Source organism: Homo sapiens, chromosome 4, assembly GCF_000001405.40.
Source record: "Homo sapiens chromosome 4, GRCh38.p14 Primary Assembly".
Classification (NCBI taxonomy): Eukaryota; Metazoa; Chordata; class Mammalia; order Primates; family Hominidae; genus Homo; species Homo sapiens.
Window position 1 is genome coordinate 131,802,842 of NC_000004.12, and position 24,297 is coordinate 131,827,138.

General features: G+C 35.4%; 1 long non-coding RNA gene across 1 annotated transcript in view; it reads left to right on the top strand.

The window, feature by feature from the left end:
* Positions 1–1,335: 1,335 nt before the first annotated feature.
* The window catches only part of LOC105377425 (uncharacterized), a 64,594-nt gene continuing 41,632 nt past the window's right edge, over positions 1,336–24,297 (top strand). The window contains exons 1-2 of the long non-coding RNA XR_007058477.1: positions 1,336–1,416; positions 1,661–1,771. This is a non-coding gene — a long non-coding RNA (uncharacterized LOC105377425). The remainder of the gene's footprint in view (positions 1,417–1,660; positions 1,772–24,297) is intronic.

The window sequence follows — 24,297 nt, forward strand, 5'->3', positions numbered from 1 at the left end:
ATGCTCAGTTCATAATAGGGTTCACATTACTATAAGAATCTAATTCTGTAGCTGATTCGACAGAAGGCAGAGCTCAGGTGGTAATGCTCACTCACCTGCCGCTCACCTCCTGCTGTATGATCTGATTCCTAACTAGCCATAGCTCATTACCAAGGGTTGAGGACCACTGTGTTAAAAGATAAACTAAGGCACAATAGAATTTTAAATATGTTATTTACACAATGATTTATGACTCAGGCAGCTCCAAACCATAAAAGTGGCTTAAGAGCTCCACTGAGGGAGCACAGGGGGAGGCTTTTAGAGGACAGGCACAGAAGAAAACTAAAGGTAATGTTTGACTATTTATAGTTGTACAGTTATTTGTACCTTATTTGGTACCAAAGTTGTACCTTACTAGGTCTATCCCATTGGAAAGTCTTCAGTTATATGATTATGTGTGTTGGCTACTTCTGATTGGTTGAACTTAAGTTCTGTTTTTCTTTAACATAGAAATTGATAAGAATAGCTCAAGTTTCCCTTATATCTGTAGATCAATCAAGGTTTAGATCACTTATGATGCCTAACTGCTTTTGTCTGCTCAGAAATTCTTCAGGCCTGGACTCCATTTTAATTTACTTTAATGATTGTTACTTTAAATTTGGATTAAACAGTGGATTCATATGTACTGAGTGGAAAAAAATGGAAATAGATGTTATAAAATTTATTTGAAATCATTCAGCCAGGATGTTTTAAACAGCATAAATTAGCAGAATTACCAAAAACACATTTTGAAAAAACCTTGAAGCAATTTTAATGTATTGCAAAATGTTAAGGAGACTAGTGGGACAAAAACTTAAAGGTTGAGTTTGAGATATGATGCAGGGTTTTTTGCTCCTTAGCCCAGCTAGGCCTAAGTTCTGAAGAAGTAGGCACATGGACACTCAAAGAGTAAGTGTAGTAGAATTTATTTAGTGAAAGGAAAGCTCTCAGCAAAGAGAGGGGTCCTGATGCCAAGTTCTTGGTTGCCCCCTTAATGGTTGAATACAAGGGCATTTTTTTTTTTTCTTGAGACAGAAACTCACTCTGTTGCCGAGGCTGGAGCGCAATGACGTGATCTCGGCTCACTATAACCTCTGCCCTCCAGGTTCAAGCAATTCTCCTGCATCAGCCTCCTGAGTAGCTGGGATTACTGGCACACGTCACCAGGCCCGGATAATTTTTGTATTTTTAGTAGATATGGGATTTACCATGTTGGTCAGGCTGGTGGTCTCCAACTCCTGATCTAGTGATCTGCCCGCCTCCGCCTCCCGAAGTGTTTGGATTACAGGTGTGAGCTACCGCACCCGGCAACAAGGACATTTTTATACAAGCTGATAGGGCTGTGAATTCCTGGTTGTATGAGACGTGAATTCCTGGTTGCTCCACTCCATCTTTCCGGTGAGTTATGTGGGCCCTTAGTCTGTGCCGCTCCATATTGATTTATTTCCCTTAATGCACATATGTTAAGGAACGAAATTTTCCACTATGGGCATGTTTAGGCAAGCTCCCTTAGCAAGTACCCTTATCTGCACAAAATATTTGGTATAAGCACCTAGGGGGTGGGTAGGAGGTTCTCCAGGGGATCCTTTCCTGACTGTCTCCCTAAAGCAAGTTGGCTGACTCCTTTCATTCCTCCCTTCAGGAGTGGAGACCCCAAATTCTGTTGGGGAAAGTGTACAACTACTGCTCTTAACTGCTTCCTGCCGACAAGGGGTGCTGTTTTGGGAAAGTGGCAGTTAAGGCTCCTCCTGAGGTCAGTTTAAGGGTCCCCAAAGAGAACGGTGTGTTCATGAGTGGTTCTGTTTGCATCACCATTTGAAATTGAATGGCCTTTAAGTGAGAAGAAACAATTTGGGTTATTAGAGGACACATTCAAAATGAAACAAAGGGATAAGGACAGCTCAAAACAAAACAAAACAAAAATCTCAAGGCTGCCAATACAGCCAGATAACTCGTGGCTATAGTTATGCCTGCTAAGGTTTGTATTCATGGGGCTTGGCTTTGATTAGCTCCCTTGGTCTTATTTTCCCAAACAAAGAAACCTCTGGGTTATGGGCACGTATTTACTCCTATCACCTGGAAGGATTTGCAGGATAATTGTTCAGAATTAAAATATTGATCCAGATTTTTTATATTACTCATCTCTTTGGTTCTTTTGAGCTGCAGCCATACATTGCTGGTTGGTCCAACAGGAATAAGCAGGGTAGTCTAAAAAGTAGGCAAAAACTTAAAAACAACTAATGGGATTATAATGTAATGACAAATGTAGAATAAGTTTTGAAACATAATTTCTCTCTCTCCAGTCCTCATTTTTGTCAAAAACAAATCATGATAGGACTCAGTTGTTTGAAAAATAAACTTTAGCCTTATACTTGTCTTATTTGCATAAAGTGCAACAAGAATAATTATTTTTCCCATAGGATTTTAAATTGGCTTTGATGGAACTCTGTTCCATAAGGAATCTCAGTTAAGACCTTTTAAGGCCAAGCCCAGCCATGGGTTTCCATCCTCAAATATCTACGAGTTTGGTAAATCATTCTCTTCTTGATGTCCCAAGAACAAGCTTTTTAACAGGCCCAGGAGCTTTTTAACAGGCTCCTAGCCCTGTTAAAAAGTGACATGCTTTACTCCCCACGGGTTAGGAACCTTGTACAAGGACTGTGTTGACAAGGTATGTAGCCAGTTTTCCCAAGGGACTTTTATTGGCAAGTCCAGCTTAATTACTTAAAGGAACATATACCCTTCCAGTAAAAGCCTCGGTAAAACCACCAGTTTCTTCAATCGTGTCCTGTTGCAAAAGAAAATGTATTCTTATTGCACTGATGAAAATAACTGTATTGCCATAAATTAAATATTCTCACAAATAGTTTCCAAATTCTGGCAAAGCCAGGCAGAGAGAAACAAACGTCCTTCAAATTTTGTTCACAGGCATATAGTTTACTCAATTATTAAAGGCTTTAAATAGTTCAAAATAAGTATCCTTGACTCAGAAAAACAAAGCAAGGATCACCAAAGTTTTAAGCAAAAAGGTTAAAAATAATACTTGTTTTCTATTAGTTCAATCCATTCTGTTCTCTTGTTCTGCTTGATATTCATGAACATTTCAGTTCTTCATGAGTACTGTATTTTTTTCAATGTCATAATCTCCAGAGTTAATGGAATCTTGCATTGAGAACACTTGTCAAAATCCTATAGCTGATTATAAATCATCTTTTGAGTAGGATCAAAACAAGTCATTTGTCTGTGAAAGATGAAATGTCCAGGGTAGTTACTGTCAAGAATACAATTGACAAAGAAATTTAGTTATTTCTAGGGTTTACAATAACGAAACATAATAACCTTAATCATGATTGATAGCATATACTCAGACATTAGAATTTTAGAAATCTCATATAATTTTGAAACATATTAATATTATTCACTAAAATATAACCTAAAGAAGATTAAATATAACTTTGGAAATACCATATAACTAAACATTTCAAAAAATCCAGTTTTCTTCTCTTTTGGATGTTCCAGGGACCAGGAAAGACAATTTTGAAACTGAAGTTTGATTTTGGGAAGCCTGTTAAATACGTTAGAGGTTCAAAGCACTTGATATTATAAAATAGAATTCCAAGTTACCATATGTCATTTATTTTAGCCAAAATGATGACTCAAACATTTTAAAACAACGCAAAAGCATATTCACAGTAAGAGGGAAAACTTAGCTTTCCAAACAATCTGTCGTTAATTTTACAGGGAAATCCTGTTCAAGTGAAAGCCTAATTTCATCCTTGCATTAGTCTACTGCTGATGTCAACCCCAATTTTTTTAATGAAAACTTATAGACAATTATATCTAATCTTATCTAGGTTGACCATGAGGTGAGATTTTTTTAAACTTTTATAACCCTTTACAAATTGTTGTTAAAGAGCGTATCAGTGCCTTTAGAAAACCTTGTTGTGCTTTTATTTCAATGCTCAATTTACAAAAACAAAATACTTTTTTGAAATTAGTCAATATGTTCACACAATTTCTTTTGCAAGATTAATTTTTACAAACCTTTCACCAATTGTTTAAACCTTCAGCTTTATCTTATCTAATTCAAAACAATCCTTTAACCCAAGGCAAAAATTTACATTTTCATGCATTCTTATAATCTTTTACTAAAAATATATTTTACTTTCCTTACTTATGTTATATGTAAATCTATTTTCATTGTCTCTATTACAGGTTATTATGGTAACTGTTAGCAATTTTTAACTTTAATGTAAAACCTGGCAAGTTGCTTTAATTATGTAGTAGGCATAAATAAATTCTGATTCCTTCCTGCATAATTAAGGGTGTGGTTAATTCCATATGTCCCTGGACTTATTAATTGTGAAGCAGGCAAATTGAATAGTGTATTAGTCAATTTTCATGCTGCTGATAAAGACAATCTTGAGACTGGGCAATTTACAAAAGAAAGAGATTTAATTGGACTTACAGTTCCACATGGCTGAGGAGGCCTCACAATCATGGCAGAAGGTAAGGGGGAGCAAGTGACATCTTATGTGGATGGTAGCAAACCAAAAAAGAGAGCTTGTGCAGAGAAACTCTCATTTTTAAACCATCAGATCATGAAACCCATTACTGTCACGAGAACAGCATAAAAAGACCCACCCTCATGATTCAGTCATCTCCCACTGGGTCCCTGCCACAATACATGGAAATTACGGGAGCTACAAGATGAGATTTGGGTGGGGACACAGAGCCAAACTTTATCAAATAGTTCTTAAAAGCCAAAGAAGCAGTTAATAACTTTGAATCATTTAGCTAACCTAGTGTCTGACCTACATGATTCAGCCCACATATTTACGTTTTAAAGACATTTGTATTTTACCAATTATTTTTAAAACTGCCTTTATTTCTTAAAGATTATAATCATGTGAACTCGAAAGGTATTACAGCTTTTATTTTTCTTCAAAAAATATTTGATCTAAGTGCTTATTTTCCTAGAGCTTTTTTATATAAACATCATGCCCATAAGAAATATAAAATTACACAGATGAACAAAAGCAAATTCAGTACTTGTAAGATTTTTCATTTGCCAATCTCCTGAATAGATTATTGGCCTCTGGGTGAAGCCCTTCAAGAGCAGGGCCTAGGACAGCCTACAGTTTCTAGGGCCTAATAAACAGGCATAGCTGGAAGACAGAGATAGATTTTGAGAAGGATCTATCCACTTTTAATTCCTGGGGTTTCATGAGGAAAACAGAGGGTGTTTTTTTCCCCAAAATGGGGTCTGCGGCACCTTCTTTGTTTTTTCCCAGGAGCCCCAGGCTATCAGAAGTTATCTTAGAGCCTCTCATGTATGCACTGAATGACAAGACAAAATGGGAAAAAAAAAAATCATTCAACAGAGAAAGAACCTTTTTCCAGAAAAACAAGATCCATGCAGAGAAAAATTTAAAGGCCTTTAAATATACCTATAACTTGGATATCCATTTTAATTCAGCTGTGCTCTAAGAAAATCATTTCAAATCTATTACCCAACTTTAGCCATGCCGAGCAGCCAATATTTCTGGCTTTTGAACTTTATTAAAAATAACCTCACAGGTGAAACCAACAAGCCTCAACTAAGGTTATGACTTAACTGTAAGTGTAAAAGTTATTTTCAAAGAGGTGCTAAGCAGTTTTTACAGAAACTAAGATCTTTAAAGTTGGTTCAGACAAAGGAAGATTTAAGAAAGGAAGCTAGAAGTTGTTTGTAGAGGGGAAGAGAATCAGCAAATGGTAAAAGTCACACAGATATTAACCAAAATATACTCATTCCCTATGTTATCAAGTGGTTACAAGGTCAAGCTCCTAAGGACATAAAACAAGATGAAGAACTGCAGCAAGGTTTGTTACTGACCAGTTTGCCAGGCTGGCTTGATCAGCAAACTTTTGGGGTCCTAGGCCTACATTCTATCCTAAGGTACCCCTCTTTATGACAGAACTATACAGAAAGACACACAAAGCACACTACATTGGCTACAGCTTAAGACTAGCCTCATAAATCCTTTTTTTCTATTTATCAGAACTTCAGAGAGGATATAAACAGTGATTTAAACAGAGATTTTATCATTTATTCAACTGGTTTGCACAGGGAGAGGGAGGCCAGAAGTCTGACTGGTAAGAACTTTTTTTTTTTTTTTTTTTTTTTGAGACAGACTCTCCCTCTGTCCCCAGGCTGGAGTGCAGTGGTGTGATCTCTGCTCACTGCAAGCTCCATCTCCCAGGTTCACGCCATTCTCCTGCGTCAGCCTCCGGAGTAGCTGGGACTACAGGTGCCCGCTACCACGCCCGGCTAATTTTTTTTTGTTGTTGTTGTCGTTGTTATTTTTATTAGAGACGGGGTTTCACCATGTCAGCCAGGATGGTCTCCATCTCCTGACCTCGTGATCCGCCTGCCTTGGCCTCCCAAAGTGCTGGGATTACAGGCGTGAGCCACTGCACCCGGCCCTGGTAAGAACTTTTACCCCTTTGCTGGTGTACCAGGCTTCTGAGTTGCCCTTTTTCATGCTCAGTTTTGAGCCAAGCAGTTTAAGGTTTGGGGAAATTAACTTTTCCCAGTTTAAGGGATGCATCCGAAGGGAGTGTCCTGTGGTACAGAGACACAATGACCCACCCACAAAGAGAGGACAGAGGAGGAAAAAGGAGAAAGAAGGTGTTTTTTCAGAGGAGTCCTAGTGATTCAGGAGGCAATCAAGAGAAATATGGGCTGCAGATGATTGGTTACCCACCTAAGAAGAGGGGAGCAAGGCATCCCTCGTTTCTTCTTTTTCCTAGTAAATACCTGAGGTACATGAGGGAGAGGAGAAAAGTGTCCTCTTTCTTTCTTCTGTTCTTATATCCCTGAGTCCTGGTGATCTTGGCAGGTTACCACCCATGGGTGCCAATGCAGCTTTCACCTATGTTAACAGGGGCCTTACAGGGTGCGAGTTATCCACCATTACCCATGCGCTGCTAGTCCCACTGTTGTCGATAACCTTTGAGTTCCCTAGATTTCATGCATGCCATGGATACTAGAATGACCTCTATCCACGAGATGGAAGGGGGCCTAATCGGCAGAAATTAGTCATGCTAACCTAAAGCTTTGGAGCTGGGTCTTCCTTAACCAAGGGAGAGAAAAGGCTATCTTGGGAATTGGGGTCCTGGCCTAATAAGAAAAAAAAAAAAAAAAAAAAAAACCTCTCATAAAAGTTAACTCCTTACAAAGTGGAGAAAAGAAAAAAAAATAAAATAAAACAGCTTAAGTGCAGGGTGGGGAAGATGCCTGGAGGAGAAACCTTTTATTTTTATGCAAATGAGTTCCTCCAATAGGGAGAGAACATTTTAATTGCTGTCTCCTCCTTTCTGGCTCAGCCAGGGGAGGAAAGACACTGTGGGTGCATGGGGAGAGGGAAGAGTGAGCAGGAAATGCTGGCCACCTAGGCAAGTGGGGCCCTTGGGTTATGTGCCCCAGCCGGGAGGGGAGGGAGGTTGGGAGATGCCGCTCTCCCATTTGTCTCACATGTGTACCTGTGGCCATTGGAGGTTGGGGTAAGGGACATGTCTCTAAAAACGGAGGGAGAGCACATTGTTCTGAATTGTATAGAATTTATTAAGTTAAAGGAAAGCTCTCAGCAAAGAGAGGAGTCCTGAAAGTAGGTTCCTGGTTGCCCTCTTCACAGGTGAATACAAAGGCATTTTTATATAAGCTGATCGGGCTGAGTTCCCTATTTGTATAAGGCATGAATTCCTGTAGGCTCCACTGCATCCTTCCAGAGTGCATGCAGACCCTTAGTCTGAGACATTCCATATTGATTTATTTTTCTTACTGCCCATGTGTTAAGAAACAAAATTTTCCACTGCGGGCATGTTTAGGCAAGCCCCCGGAGCAAGCACCCTTATCTGCACAAAACATCTGGTATAAATACTTGTGGAGCAGGTAGCAGGTTCTCTGGGGGGAACTTTCCCTTACTGTCTGCCTAAAGCAAGCTGGCTAACTTTTCAGAAAGAGACAGAGAAAATGAAGTAGCTACCAAAGTATTCTAGGTCTACAAGTGATATTATTTTCCACAAGTATTCAAATGCCATTCTAGTCTAAACTAATTCATTATAAATCAGCTAATATTAAGTAAATATTTTACAAATTAAAAACTAGTTACAAAAGGTAGAGACCTCAAAGAAAGGCAGAAATTAGGCAAATGGGAAAAAGTTATGGTGACTTAAAGCCTATATATTGTGATCTGGAGAATTAGAATTTAATTTGTCTATACAAAGTAGGTCATGATCCTGATAAGTTTAGCAATTAGAGTATTTATAAAAAGTAAGAGCTAAATAATTTGTTTCAGGGATGCACTTTTATTTCAATTATCTAGACCTGAAATTATATTTTTTGAGATCGTTCAGGAAGAAGAAATTACATGAGGAGAGCTTTCTAATCAGTATGCTTAGTGTAAATATATCTGGTGAGTTCATAAGTCTGTTTCATTTATTATTCTTCAGTATAGGTCTGTAGCATGACACAAACAATTCCTGATGACTTCAGCTACCTTTTTAAGGAAGGTAGACTTGCTCCATCCCCTATCTTGTATTTTGCATCTGAAAGAGGATCATACTCCTGTTTAAGTAAACTTTATTAATGTTTTTCAAAGTATTTCTTCTCTTGCCAATATAAAATAATGAAATTGTAGTAAAATGAGGATTGTCTTCCTCAAAAGGAGTAATTTTTCATGAACAATTTATTTAATTATTTCAATAAGTATTCAAAAATGATTTCAAATTATTTCAACAATTTATCTTATGAACATTTATTTCATTATTTATTCACACCATCAAATAATATTTTACATTGACTCCAAATTTTTTGCATTGCTGTTCATGTTTATATTGGAATTAATTCTCTATGACCTCCTTTTTAAGCACTGCTAAATAGATAGTAATCTTTCTTTCTATAACAGTTGAGTTTAAATTGATTTTCTTAATTTTCTCTGAGAGAGAACATTATTTTTTATTGTTGTAAACAAGCTATATTCTACATATTTAATTATTTGGAATTTGATTTGTGTATATTTTTCAGTGAAAGCTAACCTCTTCCTAATGTCTCCGTCTACATTTCATATTTATTCATCCATTCACATATTCAACAAAATTTGAGAATCTGTTTTTGGGCTTTTAATACTCATCTTATTCATTTTACTATTTATGTATTTATTTCTTTATTTATTTAGAAACTAGTTCTCACTTAGTTGCCCACATTAGAGTGTAGTGATGCCATCATAGCTCATGGCAGCCTCAAACTCCTGGGCTCAAGTTTGTTAATTTTATTTTAAATGTCCACACTGTGTTCTCAGTCAGAAACAGATTTCTTAATAATGTGTGTTGGCTGCTCCTTTTCCCAGTTCTTATCTTTGGACAGTATAAAGAGATCCAGATCATCCTAGTGAGAGGCCAGACTCTCTGAAAGCAAGAAATTAAGAACAATGTTTTTTTTCCTTGTCTTTGTTTTTCTACTTATAATAGGATGGAAACGGCTGTTTTTCTGTCCTTCTAAGAGGATATCTTCTTTATTCCAAACTTTTGGAATGTTGTAAAATCTCTCCTGGAGCCAAATAACCCTGTGTCTCCAAGTTTTTATGACCTATAGCTGTCTCCAAATTCTGGAACCTCATATCTTTTGACATATGAATACCAAAACCTAGTCTTCCTTTTACCCTAGGACTTAACCTAGGAACCTAGTAATCTAAGGATTTTAAAAATTTGACCCTCTTAGGGGAGTAAAAGAAGTTTTTCTATTGTTTCAAATCAGAGAAATTAACTGGACAAAGGGCTACAGATCTAATTCTCTCAGTGTGTGAAGAGTCTCAAGAAGCTAGTGCTTTGAGAGAATCCATGAGAAACCCAGGGACCTTTAATATCTCCTCATTATTATTTGCATAGCATACTACCAGGGGAGATGGATAATTAAAATAATAATATATTTTTAATAACTTTAAGTTCTCTTAAATCATATGGTTTTTTAAGGATTAAAAAAAATATCCTGGATATCTATGGCTATACTTAGACATATGTAATATACATATATAACACAATAGCTTTTGGGGAACAAGTGGTTTTTGGTTACAGAGTGGTAAAGTCTGAGATTTTGGTGCCCTTGTCACCCAAGTAGTGTACATTGTACCCAATATGTAGTGTTTTATCCCTCGCCCACCTCCTACTCTCCCCCTTAGTGGTCTCCAATGTCCATTATACCACTCTATATGCATACCCATGGCTTAGCTACCACTTAAAAGTGAGAATATATGATATTTGGTTTTCCATTCCTGAGTTACTTCACTTAGAATAATGGCCTCCAGCTCCAGTTGGAGTTGCTGCAAATGACATTATTTCATTCTTTTTAGGGCTGAGTAGTATGTCATGATGTATGTTTACCACATTTCTTTATCCACTCATTGGTTGAGGAGCACTTAGGTTGGTTCTGTATCTTTGTAATTGTGAATTGTACTGCAATAAACATATACATGCAGGTGTATTTTTGATACAATGACTTTTTTTAATTTGAGTAGATAACCAGTAGTGGGATTCATGGACTGAATGCTAGATCTACTCTTAGTTATTTCAAAAATCTGCGTAATGCTTTACATAAAGGATGTACTAATTTACATTCCCACCAGCAATGTATAAGCATGCCCTTTTCACCACATTCATGCCAAAATCTGTTTGTTTGTTTTTTTTGACTTTTTAATAATGCCTATTATGCTGGGAAAAGATGGTATCTCACTGTGGTTTTAATTTGCATTTCTTTGATGATTAGTGATGTCGAGAATTTTTTATATGTTTGTTGGTCATTTGTATATCTTCTTTTGAGAAATGTCTATTCATGTCATTTTTTTTTACTTTCTGATGGGATTATTTTTTCTTGCTGATTTGTTTTCCTTGTTAATTCTAGATATTAATTATTTGGTAGATGCATATTTTGTAAATATTTTCTTCTATTCTCTGAGTTATCTGTTTACTGTGATGATTATTTCTTTTGCTGTGAAGGTTTTTAGTTTACTTATGTCCTTTTTATTTATTTTTGTTTTTGTTGCATTTACTTTTGGAGTCTTAGTCATAAAGTTTTGGCTTAGGTAAATGTCCAGATGTGTTTTTCTTAGTTTTTTTTCTAGAATTTTTATGATTTTGGGTTTTATATTTAAGTCTGATCCATCTTATAATTTTTGTGGATGGTGAGAAAGAGTGATCCAGTTTCATTCTTCTACATGTGGCTATCCTGTTTTCCCTGCATCATTTATTGAATAGGGTGTCCTTTCCTATTTATGTTTTTGAATGCTTTGTGGAAGATCAGTTCATTGTATACATTTGGCTTTATTTCTGGTTTCTCTATTCCTTTCCTTTGGTTTATTTATCTACCTTTATACCAGTACCATGCATGCTGTTTTGATTACTAAAACCTTGTATTATAACTTGAAGTCTCTTAACACTATGCCTCCAGATTTGTTCTTTTTGCTTAGAGTTGCTTTTTTAATTCAAGCTCATTTCTGGTTTCATAAGAATTTAGAATTGCTTTCTCTAATTCTATGAAAAATGATGTCAGTATTTTGATAGGAATTGCATTGAATCTGTAGATTGCTTTTAGCAGTAAGATCATTTTCACAAATATGATTCTTTCTATCCATGAGCATGGGATGTATTTCCATTTGTTTATATCATCTCTAATTTATTTCAGCAGTTTTTGTAGCTCTCCTTATGGAGATCTTTCACTTATTTGGTTAAGTGTATTTCAATTTTTTTTCTGCTGTGATTGTAAAAGAAATTGAGTTCTTGATTTGATTCTCAGCCTGATCATTGTTGGTGCTATGCAGTAGTACTAATTCGTGTACATTCATTTTGTAACCTAAGATTTTATGAATTCATTCATCAAATGGAAGAGTCTTTTGGTGGAATTCTTAGGCTTAACTAAGTATATGCTTACATCATCAGCAAACAGAGATAATTTGACTTCCTCTTTTCCAGTTTGGATGCCCTTTATTTCTTCCTCTTGCTTGATTGCTCTGGGTAGGACTTCCAGTACTATGTTAAGTAGAAGTGGTGAAAATGGGCATCCTTAACTTGTTCTAGCCCTCAGTGGGAATACTTTCAACTTTTCCCCATTCAATATGATGTTGGCCATGGGTTTGTCATATATAGCTTTTATTATTTTGAGATATGTTTATTCTATGTCTAGTTTGTTTAGGGTTTTTATCATAAAGCAAAGCTGGATTTTACTGAATGATTTTATGCATCTATTGAGATGATCATATGTATTTGGTTTTTAATTCTGTTTATGAAATACATCACATTTATTACGTTGTGTATGTTGAGTCATCCTTGCATCCCTGGGATGAGACTCACTTGATTATAGTGAATTGTCTTTTTGATATGCTTTTGGATTTGATTTGCCAGTATCTGTTAAGAATTTTTGCATATGTCTTTATCAGAGATATTCATTTGTAGTTTTCTTTTTTTATGATATGCCTTTTTCTGGTTTTGGTATCAGGGTGATACTGGCTTCATAGAATGAGTTAAGGAGGATTCCCTTTTTCTCAATCTTTTAGAGTAGTTTCAGTAGGCTTGGTGCCAGTTCTTCTTTGAATGTCTGATAGAATTTGGCTGTGATCTGTCTGGGTTTTTTAGTTGGCAATTTTTTTTTCTTACTTATACAGTCTCACTGCTTGTTATTGGTCTGTAAGGATGCCTATTTCTTCCTGGTTTAAGCTTGTAGGGTTGTATGTTTCCCGGAATCTGTCTGTTTTCTTTACTTTTATTTTTATGTGCATAGAGGTTACATAGTAGTCTCAAATGATCTTTTATATTTCTGTGATATTGGTTAAAATGTTTCCATTTTCACTTCTAATTGAGCTAATTTAAACTTCTATCTTCTTAATTGTTCTAACTAATGTTCTAACTAATTGTTAGAACAATTGTTAATTGTTCTAACAATCTTAATTGTTCTAACAATCTTAATTGTTCTAACTAATGATCTATTTTATTTCTATTTTCAAATAACCAACTTTTTGTTTCATTAAACTTTGTATTTTTATTTCAATTTCATTTAGTTCTGCTTTAATCTTTCTTTTCTTCTCCTGGCTTCAAGTTTGATTTGTTGTTTCTATAGTTTCTTGAGGTATGACATTATGTTGTCAATTTGTAATCTTTCAGACTTTTTTATGTAGGTGTTCAGTGCTAGAAACTTTCCTTTTAGCATTGTTTTTGCTATGTCCCAGAGGTTTTGATAACTTGTGTCACTGTAATCATCCATTTAAAGAATTTTTTAATTTCTTTCTTCATTTCATTGCTAACCCAATAATCATTAAGAAGCAGATTGTTCAATTTCCAGGTAATTATATAGTTTTAAGGGTTCCTTTTGGAGCTCATTTCTAGTTTTATTTCACTGTGACCTGAGAAGATACTTTATATAATTTTGACTTTTTAAAATTTATTGAGATTTGTTTTTGTGGCCTATCCTATGGTGTATCTTGGAGGCTGTTCTATGTGTTGATGAGAAGAATGTGAATTCTGCAGTTTTTGGGTACAATGTTCTGTAAACATCTGTTAGGTCCATTTCTTCTGGACTGCAACTTAAGTCCAGTGTTTTTTTGTTGTTATTGTTGACTTCCTGCTTCAGTGATCTGTCTAGTGCTGTCAGTGGAGTGTTAAAGTTCCTCACTATTATTGTGTTGCTGTCTATTCCTTTTCTTAGGTGTAGTAGTAATTGTTTTATAAATGTAGGAGCTCCAGTGTTATGTGCATACTTATGTAGAATTATTATATTTTGTTGAATTAATTATTTAATTATTATGTAATGACTTTCTTTGTTTTTTTTTTTTTTTACTATTGTTGCTTTAAAGTCTACTTTATCTGATGTAACTACACCTGCTTGCTCTTGGTTTCCATTTGCATTGAATATCTTTCTCCACCCCCTTACCTTGAGTCTATGAGAATCTTTGAATGTTAGGTGAGTTTCTTGAAGACAGCAGATATTTGGTTTGTGATTTTTTTTAAATCAACTCTGCCATTCTGTGTCTTTTAAGTGGTGTATATAGACCATTTACAGTCAATTTCAATTATGAGACGTGAAGTGGCATTCCAGTCAGTATGTTGTTACCTAGAAATTTTAGGGTTTTTTTTTTCACTTTGTTATTGCTTTATAGACCCTATAAGTTTTATACTTTCAAGACGTCTATTCTGATGCAGCTCAACCTTTTGTTTCAAGATTTAGCATTTCTTGTAGGACTGGTCTGATAGGGACAGATTCCCTCAGCATTTGCTTGTCTGAGGAAGACATTATTTCTCTTTCATTTATGAGACTCAGTTTTGCTGGATACAAAATTTTTGACTAATAGTTATTTTGTCTAAGGATATTAAAGATAAGCCTAAAGATAGAGTGAACTTCTGGCCTGTAAGATTTCTGCTGAGAAGTCTGCTGTTAGTCTAATAGGTTTTCCTTTATAGGTTACTTGATGCTTTTGTCTCACTGTCCTTAGAATTCATTTCTTCATGTTGACTTTAGATAGCCTGATTACTATATGGCTTTGTAATGTCAGTTTTGCAGTGAACCTCCCCAGAGCTCATTGAGTTTCTTGTATTTGGACATCTAAATATCTAGCAAGGCTAGCAAAGTTTTCTTCAATTATGCCCTCAAATAAGTATTCAAAAGGCTTTGCTGTTTCTTCTCTCTCAGGAACAGCAATTGCTATATTTGGCCATTTTACATAATCACCTATTTCTAAGAGACTTTGCTTATTTCTTTGAATTCTTTTTCTGGCATTTCAAAGATTTCATCTTGGTTGGGATCCATTGCTGGGGACTTACTGTGTTCTTTTTGAGGTGTTATAGAACCCTATTTTGTCCTACTGCCAGAATTATTTTTCTGGTTTCTTCTCATTTGGGTAGAGTATATCTCCTAATTACTTTTGAGACTATATCTTCTAATTATTTTTGAATTTATTTTTTTATTTGAGTGTGATTTTTCACTTTTTTTTTCACCTTGAGGATGTGACTTTAATGTTTATAGTTTATTGTAACCTAATTCAGCTCTGGGTGCTTTCAGGGGTGAAGACTGTATAAGTTCCCTGGTTATTTAAAATCTTTGTGTTTTGGCTTTCTCAGATGCTAGTTGTGGTAACATTATGCTCAGCGTGTGTGTGGAGGTTCACTGTTTCCTGTGGGGTAGCAATGGCAGAGGTCTTATGAAGCTTATCTAGTTCCCAAGTGGTGTACACTTTTTTGCCTTTTTATTTCTCCCAGTGTTTTCTTTACCTGGTTGAATAATTCAGATTTCAGGCCAGTAGGGTAGGTGTCCCTGAATGAAAACCAGCAGATTGGTAAATGCAATACCCAATGGTGGGAAGAAGTCCAAGCCTTGACTGAGGCATCTGTGGGAGCTCTTAGTGAAATGCACTGAGGTCTTTTCACGGGGAAGGGAGGGAGCCACTTCAGCTCCCTTGCCAGGCCCCCAGGAAAGCAGGTCACACCCCTAAATACAGTTCTAGCTATTCAGATTAGCAGGCCCTTTTTATTTGCAGGAATTCTGACGTTCCAAGTAGAGAGAGATTGTGATTCTATGCCTTACGCAAATCTGAATCTGGAGGGGACTCCTCCTCTGGGGACGCAGTTAACTTGAAGTGTTCCAGAAAGGCTATCTACAGGTCCACTCATGCTAAATTCCCATAAGAGAAACACCAGCTGTGTCTGCAGTGGTGAATGAGGGGGGAAAGTCTTTTTCTTCAAGACCCTTCTGCAGATTTTCCCAAGTCCAGCACTGTACCTGTGCCTCTACTGAAAGAAACTTTCCACAGGTGGGAAGTTCTGGACTCAAGTCCTGCCATCTAGATTCTTTTTTCCATGGGGTGTGCCACTGATGTGCACTCACCCTTATCCTAAGTGTAGGAGTCCCTGAGGGCCAGACTAGTATGAATGCTGCTACTTATCTGTCTCTAGCCACCTAGTGGGACTGCCACACTCCAGGTTGGTGCTGGGGAATGTCTGCAAGGGACCCAGTGATGTGATCTGTTCTCAAGACTCAGTAGTGAGTAGCAACAACAGCTCTCATGGGGCTGACAGGAGAATGACATAGACTTTGTGAGATTTCTTGATTATAAGTAGTCTTGGTGCATTGGTTTTTCTGTAATGCCACCTGTAGTAGTAATGAACTGGTCACATGGACAGACTCAGGACCTCCTAGTTAGCCAAGGTTATATAGGCAAAGGTGATAGCTTAGGTCACACACAAGTTTTCTCTTTCCTGTGCACTGTTATCGTGCCTGCAGATGCTGAAATGGATTGTGTCAGTAGGCCTCCAGCCACAAGGTGGCACTTGAAAAAGAGCACCAGCTGGTAGCAGTGGGATTTGTGCTTGCCTTATGTTACCCAGGGGAGGTAATCTGATGACTCAGGCAATGGGCAGGGCCATTGAGCTCTCAAAATTTTCTATTCTTTGTGTTAAGCTACCAGGGCAGATGGAGGGGCAAAGCCAGTTGGGGGCTGGATCAGGCAAGTTCACATTCTGGCTCTCTTTTTCTGCCATGTGTGGGCAAAAGCAGTGTCCCCAGTGGGGATCAGATAGTGGTCCTCTGGCTGTAGCAGTAATGTTGCAGGGAGTACCATAGCTGCCTCTGCTGCAGAGAAGCATCTGTATGAGGAATAGGGAGCAGCAGGCAGCAGTTAGCCCCGCTCAGCTCCCACACACTTGGCAAAGCAGGTCTTGCACCTGCAACGTCCCACTCGCAGCAGCTTGGTTCCAAGCAGTCAACACTCAGAACTCAACACTGCCCAAGGCCATAAGACTTCCCAGAAGAGACTGCAACCATGGCTTCCAGGTCACGCCTCTCCTAGTCGGCCCATGAAGCAGGGGCACCCAGTTCTTGCACCTATGGCTGCAGCACATTTCCCATCTGCCCCATGGTTGTGGCCAAGGGGGTTCGTCTCCACTCGAGATTATATCACGAATCTCAGTTGAGAGCTTCTCGCAACCTGTGACCACTGCCTGAGTTACCTGGCTGACTTCTGTGAGGTCCCCTGTGAGGTAGGATCAGGGATGGATTTCCTCTGTCCTGCTGGGCATGCACACTAAGCCCATCCCCATGCTGCTACTTCTCATATATGCCCCACTCCTCACTAAATCAGCTCCAGCACTGGGTGGGATTAAGGCCTTTCCCTGTGGCCTGGATTGCTTGGTTCCCCAGTAGGAGTATATGTCCTAGAGGCAGTTTATCCCTATCTGACATTCTAGGGACTTATAGTTTTCCTCCTGGCTCATGATGTAGACAGCAACCTGACACTTCTTTCAAAGAGTCTGTGCTTTCTTTCGGTTTTCCTGTTAATTTTCTGTGTTGCTTCTTGGAAAAAATTTACAGTGTCAATCTCTACACACAATTCTGTCTTTCCAAATAGGAGATGCATGCTAACCATGACTCTAATCTGCCATTTTGAGAAAAAAAAATACTGGAGGTCTTTATTTTTTTTTTAATACTATAGCCCATTCTGAGTTTTCATTACAACCTCCACTCTAATATTGTATCTACTTTTCACAAACCCTTATCTTTGGTAGCTGGATTTAATTCATTAATTTTAAAATTTTGATAAAAATTATGACATAATTATATTATTATGTATTTTCATTTGATTATCTAGGCTTATGAAACTGACTAAACTAATAATTATTTGATAATATGATTATATTCTGCCAATTCACTCTATGTGTTCCTTGGATATGTTAATAAACAATAGAAACAAGTCCAACTAAAAGACATCACTTATTCTGACTCTTGTTTTGAAAAATAAAACCTGACAAATCAAATAAAAGTAAATGAATTATTACTCAGACATCCACTTATGGTTTGGGTATATATTTTGACAGTCCATGAGAAAAATTCCTCCAAGGGTCTTCACTTCCAGACATAAAATCACTTTGTTGTTTTTCTAAAAGCTATTTTTAAAAACATCAACATCTTTTTAAATTCTCCCATCTATAAGCTGGCAAAAATATCTCTTGAGGTTTGTAAGCAACATTTTAAATAATAAATGTAATATTTAGGGACAATTTAATTTAGTGATTCAAGGCATCTAATATTTGGTATCAGTATATGAATATTAACAAACATTTAGCCGTTTTATTTATAGTATTTTTTATATCAAAACAATTTCTACTTTCTATTATGCTTCTTGTTCTGTGATAGTTTACTATTTCTGAAACTTTATTTTTTACAAAATTTCAAGTTGAGTCTAAAAAAATTATATTTTGTTGTTTTGAAAAATATATAGCCTAAAACTGTACATGCTAACAGTTGAGTTTTATCAGTGTTATTTTTACTAAACCTAATCACTATAAAATAGCTATATCTTGTGTATGTTAAAAATGTGAAATAAGATGAGAATGTATTTGCTATTCTATTAATTAAATTATGTGAATTAGTAGCAACTATTAAGATGCTTTGAATATTCCCTTAGGTGGACGAGAACATGTGAGCAAGTACTAGCACAGTGGTAGATGCTTTGTAAATTGCTCTTACTTTCCTAATGATTGACAGGCTAATGGCTAAATAACTAAGATAATATAAGCACTTTCTTAGAATTTAGAGATCCACTTAAAAGACAGGTTTTCATTAGGAATTTCTGTACTTTATTTCACATTTCCATAAAAAAATTCCTCATTGCAAGAACCACTGCACCTATTAAATGAAAAAACTCAAGAGAAAACAATCAGGTGACCATTACCTCTAAAACATCTGATTTGATTTAGTTATCCTATAGGAATCAAGTATCAGGCTTTACAAGATCCTCTTTTTTCAATGTTGTTTTACTGCCTAAAACAATGTTTAAGATGACTAATTCACGTTTCTTTTTGTGATTTATTTTTACTTGATCTAATTTCTAAAGTGATCTTTATAAGGTGTCTTGCCTAAAAATTTGCCTATACTTACAAATGCATTTTCACTTACTACAATCTCATTTTTTACTGTACTGTAGATGTACAGTTAGTTGAATGCATACATTATAATTTTGAGAATATATGAGGTTTTACATAAGAAGAATCATATTGAAGTGGTTATCTAGCATATCTAAAGAGGAAACAACAGAGAAGCAAGCTGGAAACAATATGTAGACATCAGTAATTATTTTAATTTCACAAGACAAACATTTATCAATCTTGTATTCAAAACCTACATATATGCTACTTAGGACGCAGAAATAGCTATGTATATTCATTGCCACCAAGGCATTTATGATCAAATTGAAGGGCAAATACAAACACAATGAAGTTTCTTTGTGTAGCAGTTACACAAATAAAACTTCATAAGCTTGCCAAGAAAAGCAAGAACGAAGAAAGGAAAGAAAGAAGGAAAAAAACAAATAGCAAAACAGAGCAATATTTAAATGTGGTTATGATTCAGCCAACCATTACATTTAATTATAACGTGCCTGTTTGGGAAAGAAAATAGAAGAATTAACTGAATGCCAAGGGGAGGGGGGAGGAACAAAAGAAAAAATCAAAACAAAATAAAACTGTGAATGATAATTAATGGGAACAGAAAAATTATGTACAAAAAACATTTTATTTGGAGAGTAATTTAGGAGATCTTTAGGAATATATTGGCTATATTCAAGTTCCTATACTTAAGTGCTATACAATAATAATTAAAGGTACCAGATTTAGTAAAGGGATTTTGCACCATGAATTTTTTTTTCCTGTAAAGATACAAATATATCTCCTTAGTAGAAGAGATAACCTCACAGATTTATGACCCTGTTATATATCAATCTATATTTATTTATTTAACCAAGCAATCTTAACGTTATTTTGCTAAATTGCTTCTAAATGTCCCAGTTTCTCAGATTCCCTTTGTGTCATTTAAAACATCTATTTGTTATTTATTAATTCAAATTAATATCTTTAAAACCTATTCATTTTATATTTGTCTGAGAGCTATGATTTTAAGCTTCTAAAAATTATATTTTAATAGAAATCAGGGACTAGTTACCTTTAATCCGGGGGAGATACTACGTATTTTAAAGCCCGAAGTCAATGTCTAGACAAAAGTTTCTGCTTAACATCAAAGGGTATGCAACATTTGCTATGGCTCTCAAATACTAAGAAAGGAAAACACAACTGGGAATTTGTCACTAGCACTTTATTCTTTACTCAGGATTGAAGTAGAATTTTATAATGCCAATATTTTTCAGAAACTTTAAACATTAGAAATAAAATAAAAACTAGCCCAATTCCAATATTTCCCACGGATTTCCTAGCAGAAGAAATGAGAAACTCTTATGGAGAAATAATCCAATATTGCAAACACAAGGATTTGCCACTACAGAAACTAACAAGTTAAATCGAAAACTATATTAAAAATAAATTCACAAACAAAAATTACAAAGTACACAATGAAAAATAATATACATGCCAGGCGCGGTGGCTCACACCCGTAATCCCAACAATTTCGGAGGCTGAGGCGGGTGGATCACCTGAGTTCAGGAGTTCGAGACCAGCCAGGCCAACATGGCAAAACTCCGTCTCTACTAAAAATACAAAAAATTACCCAGGCATGGTGGCAGGCACCTATAATCCCAGATATTTGGAGGCTGAAACAGCAGAATTGCTTGAACCTGGGAGGTGGAAGTTGCAGTGAGCTGATATTGCACCATTGCAACCCAGCTTGGGCAACAGAGTGAGACTCTGTCTCAAAAAAAGAAAAAATACCAGCAATAAGAGTCAGCAGATGTAAAACAGCAGAATTAAAAGTATGTGTAAAAATAGATGAATAATTTGAAAAAATTATAAAATTAATAATATGTAATGAACATATATAAACACTAAAGACATTTAAAAAGAAATGAAGGGCAGATTTGGCAAAGGATATCCAAAAATAAAAATAAAGTAATTGAATTTAAAAACCTATGAGATATGGATGATTAAAATTAATACAATAAATATATATCACAGAGAAATAAAGTTATCAATATAGAGCAAGATGGACAAAAAATATTATTATATTAGATAATTTGGGTGCATTTAAGGTAATATTGAGGCAATATCTAGAGGTAATAACTGGAAATTTTCTATAAGTCATTAAAGAAAAAAATTTTCACATTCAGGAATTGGACAATTTCTGAACAGAATTGATAAAAATAAATCCAAACTAGAAAGAACACTGATTTGGTGAATATTTTAAAAAGAAATTTGTTCACTGAAAAACTAATACAATAATGCAATGGGCATACCAAGTTCCAAATCCAAAATATACAGTGCAAGATAGAATACTATACACAGCACTGAGACTTTTTGGGTCTACAAAATTTTAAGAAAGCACACTCATGGATTCATTGAACAACTGTTTTTAAAGTAACAAAGAAAGAAAAAAGAAAACACTAAAAAAGACAAGTGTGAGAAGCAAGTGGCAACTGTAAACCTGTTAAATGTAAGGGTAAATCTAAATAAGCATTAATTATTTAAAAATGTGAGGCCAGGAGTCCAGTCCAACCTGGGTAACAAAGTGAGGCATGAGTTACAATTAAAATACTAGAAAAGTATTGACCATTTCAATTAAATGTTCCTTTCAAATCGCTAATTATTTTCATGTTCCAAAATATAAAGGTTAATTTTTTATTCTCATTTTATTGATCTATCAGTAGTCTCTTTTTCTTTAATTAAAAAACAAACAAACAAAAACACATAAACAAACAAACAAACAAAACCAGCTTTTTTTCTTTGGCTTCCAGAACACATGTCCTCTTGGCTTTCTTCTTATGTCTTTGTATGCTATTTCTTAGTCTTTGGAACACTTCTGTGTCCACCCCCACTCCCTTGATGAGTTCTCACAGAGCCATGGTTTACAATATTGTTTATGCTAAGAACTTGCAAATTTGTACCTCTGCCTCTTACTTCTCTTCTAAATGCCAGGCTCTTACATCCAACTTCTTATACTGTCTTCTTTTGAGAAGCTAATAAACATCTCAACTTTGAAATGCACATTCTCACATACGACAATTTGTCTCAGAGCAAAAATCTTAGAGTCAATCCTACTTATTTTCTTTTTCAAGAATTGTACATCTAACCTTTCAGCGAGTCTTGCTGCTTGCTTTACCTTCAGAATCTATCCAAAGTTAGTCACTCTCTTAGTCTCTCCCAGAAACAGATCCCAGTAAAAACATTCAATCAGAAGTAATTTGGGATGTAGAGAAAAACTGTATTCTTTTTCTTCCCTCAGCCTTTTGATGTGTTTATTTCAATGCTATTTTTACAATGTTACTTACTGAATACATTAATTAAAATTGTAATCTGCCGCTATTACTGTGTATCCTTCCTTACTTTATTTTCTTCACAAAATATATAACTTTTCAACACCTGTCTATATTTTATTTCTTTTGTGTCATCCTATATCTGACTGTAATCTTTACGGAGGCAAGGATTTTTTTCTTTAATATCCTAAATGTAGATGTTTGTCTCTAGTAGATTCAATGGTGCCTCCCAAAATATGATAAATATGCACATATCTTTCCATATGCTAGCCCACAGAAATTGTAGAGGTGACCTAATTTTTTTGTATATATTAATAAGGATCTTGAGATGACATCATACTGGATGATCCTAGTGCACCCTAAATCCAATAAGTGTTCTTATGAAAGACAGAAGAGGAGAAGATACAGAAAAGAGAAGACGGCTATTTGAGGATGAAAGCAGAGCTTGGAGTTATGCAGCTACAAACAAAAGAACGCCTTGAGCCACCAGCAGCTGAAAGAAGTAAAGTAGGATCCACCCATAAAAACTTGAGAAGGAAAGTGGGCCTACCTATACCTTGATTTCAGATTTCTGCCCTACAGAACTCTAAGAGAATATATTTCTGTTGCTTTAAACGTTTACGTTTGTGGTAATTTGTTATAACAGATCCAGCAAACTCATATACTGGCACTGAGCAGATATTCAATAAGAATTGATTATGAATTATAGTCATTATGTTAGTGTGGCATTGACTCAGAGATGAACAATTTGTTCACTGGACTATAGCAGGAAATTCAAAAATTCATGGAAGACTTTCGATATTTTACATATGAATTGTCATATCACCCAGAAAAATGAATAACTATTCATAAAATAGCAGTGACACATTTGATTAACATATAGAAAAATTGTAAATTGTATTCTAACATCACATTAACTTCAAATGTGAAAGACATCTTGTATCACTTTTAAAGAAAATATAAAATATATTTTATTTAGTAAAATTGAATTTGTAGAATGATGACTTTTTTTTTTACTTTACTGCTTAATACTTGAGAAATTTTCCTCTTTGATGAGGCTATTAGAAAACAGGAACTCTAACAATTGTATAGTGGGAAGATAAATTCATACAACGACTTTGGAAAACTGCTTGACAATGTAAGGATGAAAGTGCCCAAAATTGTAAAATTTCCCTGCTCTATGTCTATCCTATGAAAATTCTAATATATATAAACAACAAAACCATAAATATTTATTGTAGCTTTGTTTTTAACATTTACAATGGTAAATATAAAAATGCCAGTATTTCCTGATATGAAAATTGATAGCTTTATATTATATATATAATGAAATCCCATATAGAAATTAAACAAAAACAGATACCCAAGTATCAGCTGGAATGGATCTCAAAAATATCATAGTGAGATTATAAAGCATGTGTTGAAATAATACAGAGAAAACAATAACATCTTATTTAAATTTGAAGATACAAACACTACCATATGCTGTATAAAATATTCTATACACAGACCTGTACTTAAAAATAGAGAAATATACAAGGGGATGCTAAACAATTTTAGCCTGTAGTTATCCCTTGTAGAATTTCTTATAATCTTGTTTCTGGTTATGTTGCTGTATCAATTATTTTTCAGTTTTGGGCATGTGTGAAATATTTCATAAAAGGAAGTTGGACGTTTTAATAATACATTGACTTTAAGAGGAGGAAGAATAGGTGATGGGGGTATTTTGTTATATACCAACACATGACTGAAATAATCATCTATTCTAATTCTGTTCAGTTCAGTGGAAAGTCTGAAGGTTTTTTAAGAGTTGCAGTTTGTCATATCTTTGAGAACATTGTGTTAGATTAAGTGGAACAGGAATGCTTAGAGGGAAGGAGATTAAAATAATGTGTTGTATGGATATTTGAGGTGACATACAACAGAACTGGAAAATAAAGAAACTTCATGAAAAATAATATAAAAAGAAACATCAATGACTTACCAATTGACTCTGCTGTGTTTGACAGAT